Genomic DNA, 18202 nt, shown 5'->3' with positions numbered 1-18202 from the left:
AGAATTAGCATTGTAATGGGAGTAAGTATAAGAAGCAGGAGTTTTTCCTAGAGGAGGCAAGGATTTATACTTGGACAACCCCACGAGTGTTGGCAGTGGTCAGTAGAAATGTGAGGCTTGAGCACTTCATGTTTTGAGTCCCCAGCATGATGGCTGTCCTCCTCCCAATGCAAGCTTGACAATCTGCACCACCAGCAGACAAAAAACCAGCGAGAACACTGTCTGTGGAGCCAAGCCAAGCACTTAGACAAAAACTTCAGATGGAAGGAGAACCTCATCCAGTTCTATTAGTCACTCACAGCAAAATTAGTCCAGGTGGATATCAGCCCAGTGAGAACTGTACACTCACCAGTCTGTGAGGCTGGCTCAAACAACAAGCTTACAGGATCTATGCCTGCATTCTACCTTGTAAGTCTCCTTCTGGGCCAAACAACAATTTCAGACAGGACAATGCAAAACAGAAACATAAAAGAGAGTAAAGAGGGATAAAAAAGAATGGCCTAATTCCACCAAGGATGCCAATCAAATGGGCACCCAGAACAAACCCAGGTACCAAGCTGAGAATAAAACCTAGGAGATCAAGGTAGAGAGAACAGAGTCCAGACCTGGTGCTCACCGACCATGTCAGCAGTGACTCAACAAGCCACAAGCAGCAAGGGACAGGCGCCTCATGTACCACACCTGGGTGAAGGATGCTGCCCTCTGGGCCCTGATGGCAGCTTTGCCAGCACCTGAACTGCCTTCGAAGACATTCCTTCCTTCTTGTAAGGATAACACATATTTGCAGCTGAGTAGCTCTATTAGCCCATTTCCTGCTTGTAGAACCCCAGAATCCTGACAGCCTTTCTTCATTTCATCCCATCTCTGTCCCTTCAGTCCAAGCTGGCAGCATTTCTGCAGAGATGGTTGACTGGATCCACAAGCGGCACACTGAGTCTCTCTGGCAAGTGGTTGTCCAGCCACACCTTTGGCCCTGTTTCCAGAGCACACTATATCTGGATACGCTGAGAATCTTCTGAAACATTAAGTGCTGATTTCTTTCTGATAAGCAGTCCCTTCTTTGATTCATCTCTCTCCTTTTGCATTTTACCAAAAGCAGCAAGAAGAAGCCAGACCATGCCTTCAACACTTTGCTTAGAAATATCCTCAGCTAAATATCCTATTTCATTCCTTATAAGTTCTACTTTTCAAAAAGTAGAACACAGTTCAGCCAAGTTATCTGCACTTTGTAACAAAGGTTTTCTTTCCTGCAGCTTCATATAACATGTTTCTCATTTCCATCTGAGGCCTCACTGAAAACACCTTTGACGATCATATTTCTACAACAGTCTCCTACAGGCAATCCAGGCTTCTTCTGTCAAGCATCTCAGAACTCTTCTAACCTCTACCCATTACCAAATTCCAAAGCCACTTCCACATTTTTAGCTATTTGTTACAGAAGCATCCCACTTTCTGTTACCAAAATCTGTATTAGTTTGCTAGGGCTGCCATGACAAACTACCACACACTGGGTGGTTTAAGCAACAGAAATGTATTGTCTCACAGTTCTGGGGGCTGGAAGTCCAAGATCAATGTGTGGGCAGGTTTCTTCCTTCTGAGTGCTGTGAGGCAGAACCTGTTCCATGCTTGTCTCCCAGCTTCTGGTGTTTTTCTGGCCATCTTTGGTGCTCTGTGGCTTGTAGATATATCACCCTGATCTCTGCCTTCGTCTTGACGTGGTGCACTGTGTATGTGTGTCAATGTCCACATTTCCCCTTTCATAAAAACACCAGTCACATTGGATTAGGGCCCCACCCTACTCCAGTATGACCTCATCCTAACTAATTGCATTTGCAATGAGCCTATTTCCAAGTAAGGTCGCATTCTGAGGTACTGGCAGTTAGCAATTCCACATATGAATTTGGAGGGATGCAATTCAGCCTATAACAAACTGTTTCCATATAAGTTTTGTATTTTTAAAACATATCCTTATTTCCTTAAAAATGAATAATTTCTTAAGTCTTTGATAGAATCTGATTGCATGCAAGAAAATTTCTACTTTAATATCAGATTTCTTTTTCAATTAAAGCTTAGCTTTAAATTAATATGTAAAGAAAAACTTAGTGACATGATAATCTCTGGGATTAAACAAAAATGTAATTCTGTCATTCAAAAGTGCTAGAAAGCAATATAGCTAGCTAGAAAGGCTATGTTCATAGTTTTTTTATATATACTTATAACTAAAAGGTAGTTATATTTGAATCCAAGTGACAGTCAGAAGAGAAGTGGGTAGGGATCTGGACCATGTGGACATGCAACGCACTTCAGAGAAAATCAGCAAGCAGATAGAAGAGCAGGACACTAGGGAAAGATTCTTAATGTGTTAAGAATTGCCCAGGAGAAGCAAAGGCAAACGCAGGTCTTCTAATTTTAAATCCACTGTGCTTCTACCAAGCAATGCCTTTTGTCTTTGCTGATTCAAAATGAAATTTACTCAAAGTACAGCCTCGGCAGCACACAGTAGGGGAAGGTCTGTGAGCCTGACCCTGGTCTTCCCCCCTGCTCACCCAGGTGGTCTTTGAAAAGTAAAGACATCTCTGAAAAGAAAGGATGGTATTATATTATACAGAGACCTCCACAGGGTCCCTCTATCATGTGAGTTAAATATATATCTGAATAAACTTTTCTTCATTCACAAAAACCGCTACTCCCAATTTTAATTGAAAGATGAGCACCCTGAAAATGTGAATGAAAATCATCTCAGCCTTTACCTCCTTTCCAAGAAAATGCATAGTGTTAATAAGATATTTGCATAATATTTTATGGTTTATTGTATATATGCATCTACATTTATATTTACATTTCAAAGTGTTTTACTCCCTGTGAAGTTCAGATTCTTTCTCTCCATTTGAAGAATGGCAGATTTGAGACACAGAGAAAAGTTCAACTTGCCAAACTTCCTAATGGTCTAATTGGAACTAGAAAGCAATGTAGCTAGCTATAGGAGTACTAGTTAACAGTAAATTAATTGAGCACCAACTTATTCAGAAAGTCACCTGGGTTGGTTTCAGGACAACGCAGTCATTGTGATTCTATGCAGCTTCTTATACAACCTTCTAATTTCTTTGTTGCCTCTTTGTTTGTGTCTACCTGCAAAGAAATTAAATCGCTTCTTGTCACACAAAGCATGTTCCACAAGGCACATGTCACCTAAATTTTCAGAAGCAGCAGCTGTCTTCTTAGGGAATGCTATTGTTACTTCTATAATTAAGGCAAGGTGGCCAGGTGGCCTCCACACCAAGATGCTTTAATTTACTCTACCTGGAAACCCACTTAAATCAGAAAGTAGAGTTTCCAGGGGATTCTCCACAAACGGTGAAGAGTGAAAAGAATTAAGAGTATGTGTTGCACAACCTACACAGATACACAGGCAGCCTGGGGAACTAGTGATGATTTCCAGTGTAGACATTTGCAAAAATAAAAGTAAGCATGGGAAAACAGTGATAGTCGACATTTATTGAGGGGTTAGTCTGTGCCAGACCCTGATCCAAAGGCATTCAAAGTAATTACACATTTGATCCCCAAGCCAGTCCAATGAAGAAGGCACTATTATTACCAGCATTCTACAGATGAGAACACTAGGGTGGTGAGTAACTTCTGCAAAGTCAGAGCCAGTGTGAAGCAAAGTCAGGAGCCCAACCCAGGCAGCTCACCTAAAACCACAGGCTAAGAGCAGCTTTTTGTGCAAATGCATTTATAGATGTTAAAGGGAAAATAAAAGTTTTGATTGTTGTAAATGCAGCTAGAATGGTAGATTATGGGTGTTAATAATTACATTTATTGAAGACTCTGGAGAAACACTGGAATATGTTTAGGATAAGTGAGTAAACAAGACAAAATGGTATGGACATCTTACGTTTGAAAAATGCATCTATAGAGAAATAGAGATAAAGGCAGCAATAGACCATTAAACACGAGCAGATTATCACTTAAAAATATGGTGGACATCATGTTCTTTAATCACAAAACTGTGAAGGAGGTGTTCTGTTGGCTAGGAAAGGAACAGAAAGCTATGCATATATTTTCTTCTAAGTCTCATGGAAAGAGTCAAAGAAGCAAAATTTGTGTTTATTTTATTATATTTTTTAGAGACAGAATCTGGCTATGTTACCCAGGCTGGACTTGGACTCCCGGGCTCAAATGATCTTCTCACCTCAGTCTCCAGACTATCTGGCATACAGGCATATGCCACCACACCTGGCTGAAATTATTATCATTATCATCATTATTATTATTTTATTCAGGTTAAGCAGTTAAATAAAAAGTTTTCCAGCGAAAATTCCTATAAAGAATCACATCCGGCCGGGTGTGGTGGCTCATGCCTGTAATCCCAGCACTTTGGGAGGCCAAGGTGGGCAGATCACCTGAGGTCAGGAGTTCAAGGCCAGCCTGACCAATATGATGAAACGCCGTCTCTACTAAAAGAAAAATACAAAAATTAGCCAGGTGTGGTGGCATGTGCCTGTAATCCAAGCTACTTGGAAGGCTGAGACAGGAGAATTGCTTGAACCTGGGAGGCAGAGGTTGTGGTGAGCCGAGATCATGCCATTGTATTCCAGCCTGGGCAACAAGAGTGCAACTCCATCTTAAAAAAAATTAAAAAGAATCACATCCAGTCTTCAGAAAGGCTGAATATTTGGAAAGAACATTGCCTAGAAAGCAGTCTAACCCCTAGAATAAGAAATGTGTGTGAAATATACTTATGCCTCAATGTTAGAGCCAGGATTGCATTAAGTGGTGATTTAAAATATCTGGAAATTTGAACAAAGTCACAATTGCAACTTACTACATACTATTTATTTAATCCAATTATAAGTCTTATTTAAAATACACATAGAGTAAATACTTAATAATAAGAATGCAATGGTTTTAATAAAAATAAGTTTGAGAAGTAGAGGGAAAAAAAGCCATTGTACTTTTTGAGGAAACATACATAAATATGGAAATAGGTGTTTTTTGTTTTTCTTTTTTATTTTGAATTATACTTTAAGTTCTGGGATACATGTGCAGAATGTGCAGGTTTGTTACATAGGTATACACGTGCCATGGTGGTTTGCTGCACCCATCAACCCATCATCTAAATTAGGTATTTCCCCTAATGCTCTCCCTCCCTTAGCCCCTCATCCCCCGACAGGTCCCGGTATGTAATGTTCCCCTCCCTGTGTCCACGTGTTCTCATTGTTCAACTCCCACTTGTAAGTGAGAACATGCAGTGTTTGGTTTTCTGTTCCTGTGTTAACTTTGCTGAGAATGATGGTTTCCAGATTCATCAATGTCCCTGAAAAGGACATGAACTCATCCCTTTTTATGGTTCCATGGTGTATATGTGCCACATTTTCTTTACCTTGTCTATCACTGATGGGCATTTGGGTTGGTTCCAAGTCTTTGCTATTGTGAACACTGCTGTAATAAACATATATGTGTATGTGTCTTATAGTAGAATGATTTATAATCCTTTGGGTATATACCCAGTAACGGGATTGCTGGTTCAAATGGCGGAAATAGGTGTTTTAACTCTCATTTTTCTCATTTATCTATATTTAGATTACATCTGTTAAGCCAAATAGTGTTAAATAATCACCACTAACCTCCAACCTCCTTGCTTATAAATTCACACCTACCTGTGCAGGAAATGCTGCCTGCCAAGTCTGAAATAATACTTGAGGCTGCTGCAAAGTCCAACATAAAAATACTTAGCTAATTAAATAAATAAAACTATATTCATCATAATTGGGAAAAGGAAAATATGGAAAGCTGACCTGCCTATAGTGCCTATTTTTTACTAAAAAAATAAAAACAAAAAACGAAACAAATAAGCCAACAAAAAGCACAGAAGTGGCAGAAGATAAGCTTTCAGTAAAATTTTTAGAGGAAATCTGTGAACCAGCAGAAATTTGCATCCCATTGGCAAAGGGGTCCACATGGGACCCTGAGGACCCAAGGTTAGAATTCACAGGAATTGTGGGGAGAGCTCTGGGCTCATATAGTCCATGAGACTGAAGGCTTGAGCCATGTTTCCCTAAATATTCGGGATCTAAAGCAGCCCCAAGTGACATCTGAGCAGCCCCAGAACACTGGACCAGCAGATAAACTGGCCCCCAATGCAAAATGCAGTATTTTGAGTCTAATAGTGGGTCTAAGTCCACCCTCATCTTGACTATGAGACCAGGGAACCTACAGCTCAAGGAAGAAAGATGACTGTTTCTGCACTGGCCATGTTGTTGCTTGGGCCAGGGGAGAGGGTTGACAGAACCCTGAGGTTCACATGGAAATGTGTGGAGTAACACACAGGTCAGGCAGGTAGAGAGAGCAACACATACAAAGCATTCTGTGGTGTCTTAGCCAGGGCATTGCATGACAAGGAATAAACTCATCAACCCACCAACCAGAGGAAATCCTGGCCATGGGTGATTACTGCAGCTTCTTAAGTGACACACAATCCTGAAAAAGGAACAAAAAACTTTGATCATTGAGAAGGGCCTTTCTCCTGATTCACCTGCTGGGGCAGACTCCCCAGAGCCTGGTATCCTCCTAAGGAGTAACTGCCAGGCAAGCTGGGATCCACTGGCCACAGCCACATGGATGTGAGCCAACATATGGCATCTGCGAGAAGGCACAGCCAGATTGAAGAGGAGGATTCTGAGCTGCTGAAATGTTCCCAAGGAGTCAGGCCTCAGACGTGGAGAAGCAATGGTGATAAATAGAAAAATTGCATGGTCCAGAATTGAAAATTATACAAGGTCAAAAAGTCATAACTCTCCCTGTCTCCAGGCAACAATATCCAACAGCACACAAGCATTCAGGAATGTGCACAGTGTTGTGATCTATGTGGCAGGTTTCTGAGTACACAGCACCAGGAAGAAGAAGAGACCTCGAGGTGTAAAACATCCTGAGATTTTGGCAGTAAGCTGCATGCCAACTCCTCCTGCTTGCAATTTGGAAGACCAGGTCCCACTGGAGCAAGGTGATGAGAAAACAACTGCCAGCAAGACATCCCTAGAGAAACTAAGCCCATGCAAGAATTGCTGATTCTTGCTCATTTAGGAAGACAGATGGAAGGTGATGGTCATCTGCTGTCCCCAGGAGACAAGCCTCTCAGAGGTCTGGAAGGTTCAGCTTACATCCCCAGAGCCAAAGCTTATGGAGAAGCCTGAACTCCCAACAGGGAGAAATAATTGTTAGGTTTCCCATTCCAGTCAGAAGGGATCTTCAGAGCAAGCCAGAGGCTCTGAAGAGACACTGCACCCATCCCCCGGTGCATGTGTGACCCTACAGGCAGCTATTACATGCGACCCATTAGAGCCCAAGTACTGTGGAGAAAAGGCAAGAAATACAATATTCCTCAAAGATTTGGGGAGATGAACTGCCCTCCATTTATTTTGCCTTCAACTCTTGATGGACAACTTGGGGCAAATTGCACCAAAAAGAATTCCAGAAACTGAGGTCAGAGAATGAAGAAAAGCCAGTTAGTACAGGTACTCCTTTCCAATCCTAGCTCCTGGAAGAAGGGTCAGAAATGGATGGGCAAACCTGTAAACCCTGGCTCTGAGGGTGGAAGGAGTTGCCAAAGCCTCAGCCTGGAACTTCCATGGCCCTCCTCGCCATCTTCACACCCTCACTCAGCTCTTTCTGTATCCCAGTTGCCTGAAAACTTCTGCTGACCACGAGTAGCCCAGCCTGACTGAGAAGCCCTGTATAGAAGGGACAAGATATGTCCCCTACCTAGCCTGTACCATGGAAACAGATCCTCAAATAAAGTCTCATAAGAGCGTACTGCCCATCACCTATGGAGTAAGCAGTGTCAGGGGAGGTCAGTCTGGAGGCCACAGTTGGGCATCATTTCTTGTCTTTTCCTCATCCATCCCCTGGACAGATCATCTGCATTGGGACCATCACAAGATATCGGAAGATGAGAAAAAAAAAAAGTTATTCACTAGAATTTCAGGAGATTGTATAAAAGGCAAAATTGCCTAGCTTGGTTGATCCCTGAAAAAAACTCAAAAAAAGTCGGAAAGAGGCCACTGTGTTGGGAGAAAGTAGAAGGAATAGTTTTGGCTGGGTGTGGTGGCTCACGTCTGTAATCCCAGCACTTTGGGAGGCTGAGGCAAGTGGATCATGAGGTCAGGAGTTCAAGACCAGCCTGGCCAACATGATGTAACTCCATCTCTACTAAAAATACAAAAATTAGCTGGGCATGGTGACGCATGCCTATAATCCCAGCCATTTGGGAGGCTGAGGCAGGAGAATTGCTTGAACTAGGACCGGGGAGGCAGAGGTTGCAGTGAGCCAAGATCGAGCCACTGCACTCCAGCTTGGGCTACAGAGCGAGACTTTGTCTCAAAAAAAAAAAAAAAAAAAAAAGAAGAAGAAGAATGAATAGTTTCCATTTCCCAAGTGAATGCTTAGGGTATAGAAGGTCACCCACTGGGATTTAAGTTAAAGGAGTCAGTGGACTGCAAGCAGGCATGCAGGGAGCACACTGGAGGCTGATGATAATCAGACAGTCAGCGGCAACCCTGCACCATGACACCCTAATGTCCTTCATGAAGCCACTCAGCACACATTGCTTGGCTGGAGCAGATTTTCTCACCCAAATGGCAGATATCTGAGCCCAGATTATCATGGAGGTAGTAGTGAGATGACAGTCACAGCCAAGGGAGTAGAGACAGGGGCATCTCTGGAGAAACAAAGCATTTTTCACAAGCTTTGAACCCCTGGGGTTGAGAGGTGAGCCAGATTCATCTAAACCTCCAAGAGCCAACGAGTCTTCTGAGTTTACGAGATTAAATTTAAAAACTGAAGACTAGGCTCTTCTAGTAGCTAACCTGCTGCCTAGCTCAGAATAAGAATCTATTTGACTCTTCATCCATTTGTTAAGTGAGGGCTGACTTTTGGTTTCAAGCTTTAGGTACCTACTCTGTGCTTAGGATTGTGCCAGGGACCATGTCCCTGTTTCTAAGAGTTGTACATTCCTTTGGAAGAGGCATTGCCTGGGCGGCAAGATGGGTGCTGCACCTTCAGGGGTTGCTTTGTTAGAGGTCCATCCAGACAGTGCATCTCTGGGGTTCTGGAGCCTAGGATTCTGATGCGTGTGTTGCTGTGTGTGTTGAGGAACTACGAGGATCTTCTTTGTATTGGACATCTTAATAATCTTATTTTAACACAGTTATTTTCCTTTGTAATCTTATGTATTTACTTCTTATTGGGGTATCATTTAGATACCATAAAACGTGTGTATGGGTTCAATGAGTTTTGACCATTGCATATACTCACACAACCACCACCCTCAACAGGATACAGAGCATTTCCAAACCTCAGAAAGTTTCCTCAAGTCAACTCCAATCCAAAACTGAACCTCCAGTGTTCTGACTTCCATCACAGTAGGTCGGTCCTGCCTGTTCTTGACTTCACCCACATATGTTTCCTGGGTGGCTTCTCTTGCTTGACACAGTGATTCTGAGATTTGAAGCACAAGGCGTGTATGGAGTGTGTTCCTTGGGGTCTTGGAAGGAAGACTATCTGGAACGTGTTAGGGGTGTTTAATAAAGGGCTACAACGTTGTGAGCTGGGAATAAGGAATCCACAAGCCCCTCGGGGTGAGTCACAACCTGAAACCAGCATGTTCTTCACCTGAAGAGGGGCAAGAGCAGCCACTGGAAGAGGAAAGACAGCTCCATCAGGCCAGGAGGCCTTCAGTCAGGAACAGCCAGCCTGGGCAACCACACAGGGAAGAAGCCAAGAATAAATGCCCTGTCTCTCTCTCTCCTTTCGATATGCCCCACTGGCCCAGCGCAACTGGGAGCCAGAAGGTAGGAGACGCCGTTAATTTCCTGCAAAGAGGCCAGCTGAGGTAGAGACCTGCAGGAAAGCATCTGGAGCTGGAAGGAGAAGGTGTTGAGCACATGCCCGTGTGTTCATGAAAACCCAGAGTATGGGTAAAGCCATGGGGGTCTGACAGCAGGGAGGGGCACAGTTAAGGAAGTTCTAGAAAATTAGCTTTCTTACCCTTCCCTCCTTCCTTCTTCTCACCCTTCCTTCCTGCCTTCCTCCTTTCCTCCCTCCCCCCATTCTTTCCATTCTTCCTTCCTTTTTTCTGCCTTCCTTCTTTCCTTCCTCTTTTCCTTCGTTTGAAAATGGCTGCACCTGCTATAGACAATAATTGTGTGTTTACTACTATGTGTCAGATACTCTGTTAGGAGCTTTACATACTTATAAATAGTTAGTTTTAATATTGAATATTCTTCAAACACCTATTTTGAAGGAATGGCTATACCAATTCTACAGACAAAACCAGAGGTTCAGAAAGTTTACCTGTGGGACTATAAGATAAATTTGCCGCCATTCCCCCCAGATTAATAACCAATGGATACAAACAGCTATTGTACCCAGGGGCCTGCGAGAAATGATACACAATGAATGCACCAGACTGGAGCGATCAGGGAGCTGGTAGGAGGATGGGGCCTCTGACCGATGCTTGAAGGAGGGGGGATGCCGTGTGCAGGGTGCAGAGGGCATTCCAGGTGTGTGGACCGCAGCAGCAGAGGCACAGAGAGAGGGGGTGAGCTGCCAGCTTGGAAAATGGAGACCATCCACTTGGGGGTGATGAAGGTTACTGAAAAGAAAAGGTAGTAAAGGATTAAGGTAGAAAGGCAGTGAACCCTGAAATTCTGAGATTCATACCATAGACAGTAAGAAAACAGTAAAAATTTTGATCAAGGAATTTGCAGAATCATAATGGATCTCCCAGAAAATGTCTTGTGTCAGTGGGCAAAATGGATGATCTGTAATAGAGGCAATTGGGAAGTTATTGCAGTGATCCAGGAGAGAGGTTCCGTCTAGAGTGGTGGCCACCACAATGAAAAGAGACAGTCCTGAGACAGATTGGGAGAAAAAAGCTCAGTAGGACCCAGCACCAGGGTGGACAGCATGCTAGAAGAACAATGAGTCGTGAGAAAACAACTGGAGAATCCAAGCTGGGGGCAAGATGAGTGCAGGGAGGAGAGGAGAGCTCAGCAGAGGGAAGAAGTTAAGGGCAGAACCAGAGCCATGGAAAAGAGAGGCGCTAAATTGGTTTGGACAAATTGCACTGAGGCGCCCAGCAAGGTGTCCAGGGAGAGCTCTTCGGTAAGCTATGTGGGAGGTGTTGGGGAGTCTGATGGAGAGCTTGGCTTCAGACAAGTGCCTGGTCAATGCTGGGAGCAGAGGAGAAAGCTGAGGGAGAAAGAGTAGGCAAGAGAAGGCAGACAAGGATGAGATCTCCTGGACGCTCTATGCTCAGCTGTTCAGCCACCACTGTGCAAAGACCCAGGACATAGCAATGGTCAAATTACTGTCTGGCTGGGTTTGTTTTCTTTGGGGAAAGGGGAGGAGGGAGAGGACATTTCAGACGTATAATAATAATACTCCTTAAACCACAGGTGGCATACTCACTTTCTTCAAGTCAGAAGTTGCCAAGGGCACTTTATTTCTAGACCATTCTTTTTAAAAATCAAATCATCAGGAATTGTGCTTCTGGGAAATGCTGTTCCAAACACCTATTAAATATGCAGCCATACCGTTTGTTTTGCATTTTTCTTAAGGGTAACAATTAACCTTTAAAAAGTCTGACCTTTCCAAAGAGGTAGACCTGTTATGGGGAGCTCTGAGGTGCTGGGTCAATGTTTCAGAGAATTGTTTGCTTCATGAGCATTGTAGACTTAGGGCTGCAGTGGTTTTCTTATTCTGTAATGCTGTGGCTCTGAAACGGTTCACTAGCATGATATGTTTAATTTGTGAAATGAAGCCGTCAATTGGAGTCACAGGGCTCAGTCCCCGGCACCCCGAGACAGGGGAAGGAAGCACAGCCAGCAGAACAGGCACTCACATCTCACACACTCGGCAGGGAACACATGCCCCACAGCAGAGCCTGACTTGAGATTATCCCTCAGCTTATTCCTAACCACTAACCAGACGCTCAGCCCCAGCCCAGATCCGCTGGAAACCAGCCTGGTCACCTCTTTTCCTACCACCAGGGGAATCGGCCAGTCCTTGCAATTCACCACCAAAGTGATCTTTCTACTTGGAAATATTACCACGCCATGACCCTGATTAAACCTCCAGCATCCCCGTGTTTATCCAGGACACAGTCAGGACCCTGTGATCTGGCCTCTACTCACTTCTTCAGCTTTATCTGCCATTCCTTATTCTGCCCCCTCCCTTGTACACACAAACACATATTGTTCTTAAGATAAACCAAAGTCCCCATGGCTCCCTACACGCCTCCACTCAATGGGCTCTCTGCACGCCCTGCTCCTGGAGAACCCTCCAAGTTCTCATTGGCAAATGCCTGCTTTTCCTTCCAATTCAGCTCAGACATTGCCTCCTTTGGAGTGCCAGCTGTGACCCATTTCCATTAGGTGGCTCTTTATGTACCCATAGCATTTTACAGATGCCTGTTTCCCAAAAGGGACTCTACTCTGTCCTATTCATCATGTAAAGTGGTCCAAGCTCCCATGGAACCACACACAGAGGAGAATCTTAAGCAATTTTGTGCAATCGATACAAGAATAAATGAATGATGAAAACTTTTCCTCCGACGGACATACATGAAAAGTACACAGGCACACTTTCCCCAGACATTTCTGGAAAACAAAAACACCTCCAGTATCAATCTGATTCCAACTAATGCATGATGGTATGCCCACAAAAGGTTAAACTGAAGAGACCCAGGGAAAAGGAAGGTTGACAGGAGCGTGTTGGAGATGGAGTGAGCCACTTGTCATTGGGCTGAATTGTCATAATACACATGAAAAGGCAGCTCTCAGCAAGCCTTGACCGCACACTAGATGGGGGCCACAGAGAGATGGGTGAGACAGAGGCCCCACTCTAAGGGAGCTTAGAGTCTAGTAGGGAAAGAGAGAAAGGCCAACAATAAGGACCTCGAAGGGAGAAAATGGCCAACACTCCCGCGAGGTGGATGCAACCTCTCAGAACTTAGCCAGGAGCAGTGGCTAGCCGGGAAGGACCCTGAAGGGATAGGGAACAGAAGGCAAAGGCACCTTTGAAAGGAGCTTTCAGAAAGTTGCAAGCACCTCTGCATGACTAGAGATCAGGGTTTCATCACAGGGGGCCAAGAGCTGAGGCCAAAGAGATAAGCAGTGGATGGATTTTAGGAGACTTCCCATGGTGTGCTAAGGAGATAAATCTTATACTCTAAGCAGGTGGGAGCCATTCCTAGAGGAACAGTAAAATCACTGAGCAGCACTACGTGTGGAGTGTGAGGAAAGAAAGCGATGGGAGTCCTTGCTGGCACAAGCCTCAATTATGTACTCAGATTAAAACTGAGAAATAATTCCACCTACGGGCCCAGCAGGGCTCCCATGCACAGTGGGGGATGCGTGCGGTCAGACATCCCAGGGAAGCACAGATGGGCTCTCACAGAGCCTGTCAGGTGAGAAGCAAACACGTGGCTCTGGAGAGAGGTCTGTGGTCAGAGGTGTGCTGCGTGGCAGCAGGGAGACACCGCCCGTGGTCAGTGAAGCTCTGTCAAGGTGCACGTTGGACAAAAATTCCCTCCACTCACTGACCTAGAAAGTATGCAAGAAAACAAATGAAAAGGATTCATTACCTCAAAGGGCCAGCAAAGATCATCTTCTCTTATCAGATCATGAGAGTGCTCTTCAGGAGCTGAACGTAAAAGAGAATCTATTACAAACGCTGATCCCAGATGTGATGGGAAAAGCAGCATCATCACAAACTGTAGTTCTTTACCAAAAAAAAAAAAAGACACTCCATAAATTTCAGACACAATTAGAAATGCAAAGATAACAAAGTCATAGAAGGAGAAGGAGGGGAAAAAATATTTGTTCTAGAGAGATGGTTAACAGTGAGGAAATATTAATATTGATTTCTACTTTTACAGCAGCAAGAATAATCAGGCTGAACCGGTGACTCACCAATGCTTAACCAGAGCACCAAAAGCAAAGTTGGATGTGCAGAACACATCAAAATTCTGCACGAATCAATTTAAAATCATTTCCCCTCGTCTAGTGTGGTGACAAATTTATTAACAGGCTCAATTGAGAGGATTACTCAGTCCCCACACCTCCCTGTGAGTGCTCAGGCTACAAGCCTTAAAATCCCAGGGTCACTAATGGAAGAATCCATGGATGGGGCACAGCAAAGGAGGCAAAGATGGGAAAATGCACACCTGGATGCTCGGCTCCCCCAGCGCGTCCTCAGATCTGCAGTGTCAGGGGCAGGACAAGGTAGGGTTTGCCAGGTATCAGCCTAGATCAGCATCTTCTGTGGCCAGCAAGAATGCACCAGAAAACAAGAGCCAATTCAACATTTGCAGTAGCCAGTGTGTCCCCACATTCAAACAGGAAAGAAATATATAATAGAAAGGGAGTGGATGCAAGGATGTAAAAGGAACAGCAAGACTATCTCAGTTCAAAACAGCCACCGAGCTTACTAGGAGAGGAAATGGGGAGGGGTAGGTCAAAGGAGGCAAACTTGCCGTTATGCAGGATTAATAGCTCTGGAGAGCCAATGAGCAGCATGAGGACTACAGTTAGTGTTATTGGATGCTATACTGAAAATCTGCTCAGAGAGTAGATTTTAGGGTCTCTTACAACAACATAAAAAGCTAAGGATGGTAGGTGATGGATATGCTAATTTGCATGACTGTAGTAATCATTTCACTATGTAGATATAGATCAAAGCATCATATTGCACACCAGAAATCTCTATGCTAAAAAAACAACCACTGAGTCCCTTGAATTCTACCTCCTAAATAATTCCTTAATCAGCTCCGCCCCTGCCTCCCTACACTTTCCTAGTCCAGGCCTTCATGCTGCCTCCCGGGTCATTCCCAGAGCCTCCTGATTCATCAGCCTGGCATGGGTCCTGTGCCTCCCTTGGAGGAGTGCCACCAGCATGGCATGTCCAAGGCAAGATTTCATCAGAGCTCTTGCTCAACAGTCCCTGGTGGCTTCCACTGCCTCCTGAGTAACCCCAGATGGCATGCATGTCCTCAGTCTCTCTGCAGCCAGCTCCATCTGCCTCCACCTTCCCCATCTGCTTCCCACCATGTCGTTTTGCAATCCTGGAACCCTTTAGTTCTTAGGGCACACATGGGGGCATCTCGCTCCACAATGCCCATCTAGACTCATGCTGTTCCCCCTGCCTGCAGCACCCTCCTCCTGCTTCCTGAATGACCTGGAAAAGTCGTGTTGGTCTGTATTAGTCAGAGAAGCCTGGCTGCTGTAACAGACAATCCTATGCCACCATGCATCAACACCGTGACGGTGTGTGTGCTCACCTGCCCATCCCATGACTTCTGTTTCACCCAGCCTTTCAGGCCCAGGCTTCACTCCACCAGTGGCTCAGCACCCCAGGGCCTCAGCATCCAGCTAGCAGCCAGGGAAGAGGTACCAGGAAGCCTGACAGGGAGGGTTTATGGGCCAGGCCTTGGAAAGTTAAAGGTGGATGGAGGTCATGATTTCTGCCTGCATTCCATCCTGGAGTGTATCTGTGTGCCTAGTGGAAAAGGTAGCCATTTGAGAGCAATTAGCTTGTCTCTCCAACAACATCTTCTCAGGCCAGACGGGACACCATCTCCTTCTGCAGCCTTACTGCTCCCTGCTCACCCCACCCTTACACTCGGGGACCTCTTTCCTCCATGACACCCACCAGACACTAAAGGTATTGTAGCACAGACTGGGTCTCCGCCTCCGTACCCCATCCCCTTATATGACAGGCTCTGGTGCATCTGGAGGTCAATCAGAATGCACCAGAGCCTGTCAGCAAAATGGAGACACATTTCATGGAGAAATGCGTGATGCTGGGAGACGGTCTCCTCTTCCAGGCACTTGCTGACCTGGTCCCATTCTCTCACTGGAACCAAACAGGACCATGGTAAACAAATATATACCAAAAGGAGCCATAGCATGCCTTTGGACAATGTTTGTCTTTAAAATGGTAGAACAAAGTGAAATGAAACAGGCTTGGGTCTACAGATTAATATATGAGGACTGGAGGAAGAAAAGAAATGAACTTTTTAAAATTTTTCTCCTGCTTTGATAAATAGGTACCTAAAGGCATGAATAAACAGAGGGAATAAATGATCAAGGTGAAGGAGAAACAGAGCCCTAGTGTTTAAGCAACAGTGACAATTTCTCCAGTTCATTGGTGTGACAGGCACTGTGCTGAGATCCTTGTATCTGCTATTTCTTCCAATGATCAGTGGTAATCCTACAAGTTACGTGCTATTGATATGGACACCTTAAAAGGGGAGGGAGCTAAGATTCAGAGATGATGGACACCTTGCTCAAGGTCACACCCTCAGAGCATAATGCAATTAAGATTTGAACCCAAGCATCCCATACCCAATGGTGTACAGGATGACAGCATCCATGAGTTAGAAGGAGGATAATCATCTACAATGGGGTGCATGTCAGGAAAGGCATCTGGAAGTCAATCAGAATGCACCAGAGCCTGTCAGCAAAATGGACACACGTTTCATGGAACGCTTGATGCCGGGAGAAGGTCTCTTCTAGGCACTTGCTGACCTGGCCCCATTCTCTCACTGGAACCAAATAGGACCAGGTAAACAGATCTATGCTAATATCATCTCTTCTTCCTATAGACAGCAAACTTTCTGAGCCATTCTACCCAAATCCTGGAGGCTGGGATCCATGAGGACTGCTCCATTCATCGCAGGAGAATGCAGGAGAAGTGTTGATATTTCAAGCTGCATGTTTCATTTGTAAATTAGAAACACTTACCTATTAATTCACATTCTCACCATTTTTGCTATTACTTTTGAGCACTCGAATTATTTGTGCCCTGCTTTTATGAGGCCCCTAATCTTCAGCTCCGAGGGCCTAAAACTGTCATTCAGTCTAAATTAATAGCAGTCTTATTGGCTCATTATTTTTGACATCTGGTTGGAAGTGCAAAGCAATAGCTATTAGGTAATAATCGCAGTAGGCTCTGATTAGAAACTAATAACATTAGCAATAAACATTAAATGTGGTTGCCATGAAGCTTTGAAGCTTGATCGAAGGAAGAGGGCAAGACTGCTCCACAATGATGAGAAACTGAGGGAAGGGGCTGGAACTCACCTCCCAGTTCCTCCAGATCAGACCCCCAACCCTGGTAACTTACATCACCAAAAACAACATCTGTTTCTGTAAAAGGAAAGAAAAATGTAGTAGACAAAAATCACAAGGCTTGAATGGAAATACAGAAAAATGAATATTCTGAATTTCCCAAATTCACAAATAATTCACAGAGATTTCTATTTTTCTCCCAACATTTTCCTTTCTTCTTCAACAAATGTGCATAAAGCCAGTTCTTGTACTGGTAATTATTGATATTTATTGAGCACTAATTATGGTCCAGGCCCTCTTATTCTAAGCACTTCATATACATTATTGCATGCAATTCTCACCCCGTCCCCGCCGCCCGCCCCCCCGCCCCCCCGCCAGTAAAAAGCCTATGGAGTTGCTGCTGTCATTATTCCCATTTACAGATTGGGAACCTGAGGCACAGAGAGGTAAAGTCACATAACCCAGGCCACACATCTTGCACAGTAGCGAGCTGAGACTTGGATCACAGAGTAATGCTCACACTCATACAATGCTGTCATTCTTGCTTTCGTTTTCTAACAAGTTTTTCTTGAGCACCTACAATTTGCCAAACATTCTTTTCTGAGCTATAGCAGAAGGAGACTGGAATAGAAAGAAACATGGGCAGATATAGTCCTGGGCACTAACCGACTTGCCTGGATTATTGTAATAGCTTCCTAACTTCTGAGCACCTCTTCCTTCTGGTATTTCCCAGTGAAGCAGCCAGAGGGATCCTGTTAAAATGTGACTCAGGTCATGTCACTCCTCAGTTCAGAACTTTCCTCTAACTCCCTGTCTTGGTCACAACAAAGGACAAATTAAACAGGATGATTTATGTCCACCTGGAGCTCCCCTCATCTATCCCGCCTGTCACTTCTCTGGCCTGTCTCTCACACCTGTCCCATTTGGTCCATGCCAGTCCCATCAGCCTACCCTCCACTAATAAACAGAACTGCACCTCCTACCTCAGGGCCTTTGCACTTGCAAAGTGCTCTTCCTAGAGTGCTCATCCCATTCTATCTCTTTTAAATTTTTTTAATTGACAGATGTTT

General features: G+C 44.5%; 2 long non-coding RNA genes across 7 annotated transcripts in view; both read right to left on the bottom strand.

The window, feature by feature from the left end:
- LOC105373592 (uncharacterized) overlaps positions 1 to 18202 on the bottom strand; it is a 530486-nt gene that overhangs the window by 181288 nt on the left and 330996 nt on the right. The window contains exon 4 of one of the 3 annotated variants that reach the window (XR_923281.3): positions 3036 to 3129. The exons of the other annotated variants lie outside the window; for them this stretch is intronic. This is a non-coding gene — a long non-coding RNA (uncharacterized LOC105373592). The remainder of the gene's footprint in view (positions 1 to 3035; positions 3130 to 18202) is intronic. 3 annotated transcript variants of the gene reach the window in all.
- Positions 4604 to 17426, bottom strand: LOC105373591 (uncharacterized). Of its 4 annotated transcripts, none has more exons than XR_001739686.2 (3): positions 15341 to 17426; positions 10449 to 14322; positions 4604 to 9990 (listed from the first exon to the last, which is right to left on the bottom strand). It is a non-coding gene; the product is annotated as an uncharacterized LOC105373591 (long non-coding RNA). The 4 variants fall into 4 exon arrangements; XR_001739688.1 differs by lacking the exon at positions 4604 to 9990 and having other exon boundaries at positions 10132 to 10651; positions 13380 to 14322; XR_001739687.1 differs by lacking the exon at positions 4604 to 9990 and having other exon boundaries at positions 10132 to 13604; positions 14228 to 14322.

Source organism: Homo sapiens, chromosome 2 (assembly GCF_000001405.40).
Source record: "Homo sapiens chromosome 2, GRCh38.p14 Primary Assembly".
Lineage (NCBI taxonomy): Eukaryota > Metazoa > Chordata > Mammalia > Primates > Hominidae > Homo > Homo sapiens.
The sequence above is the reverse complement of the archived record's forward strand: the minus strand, read 5'-3'. Positions and strand labels throughout refer to the sequence as shown.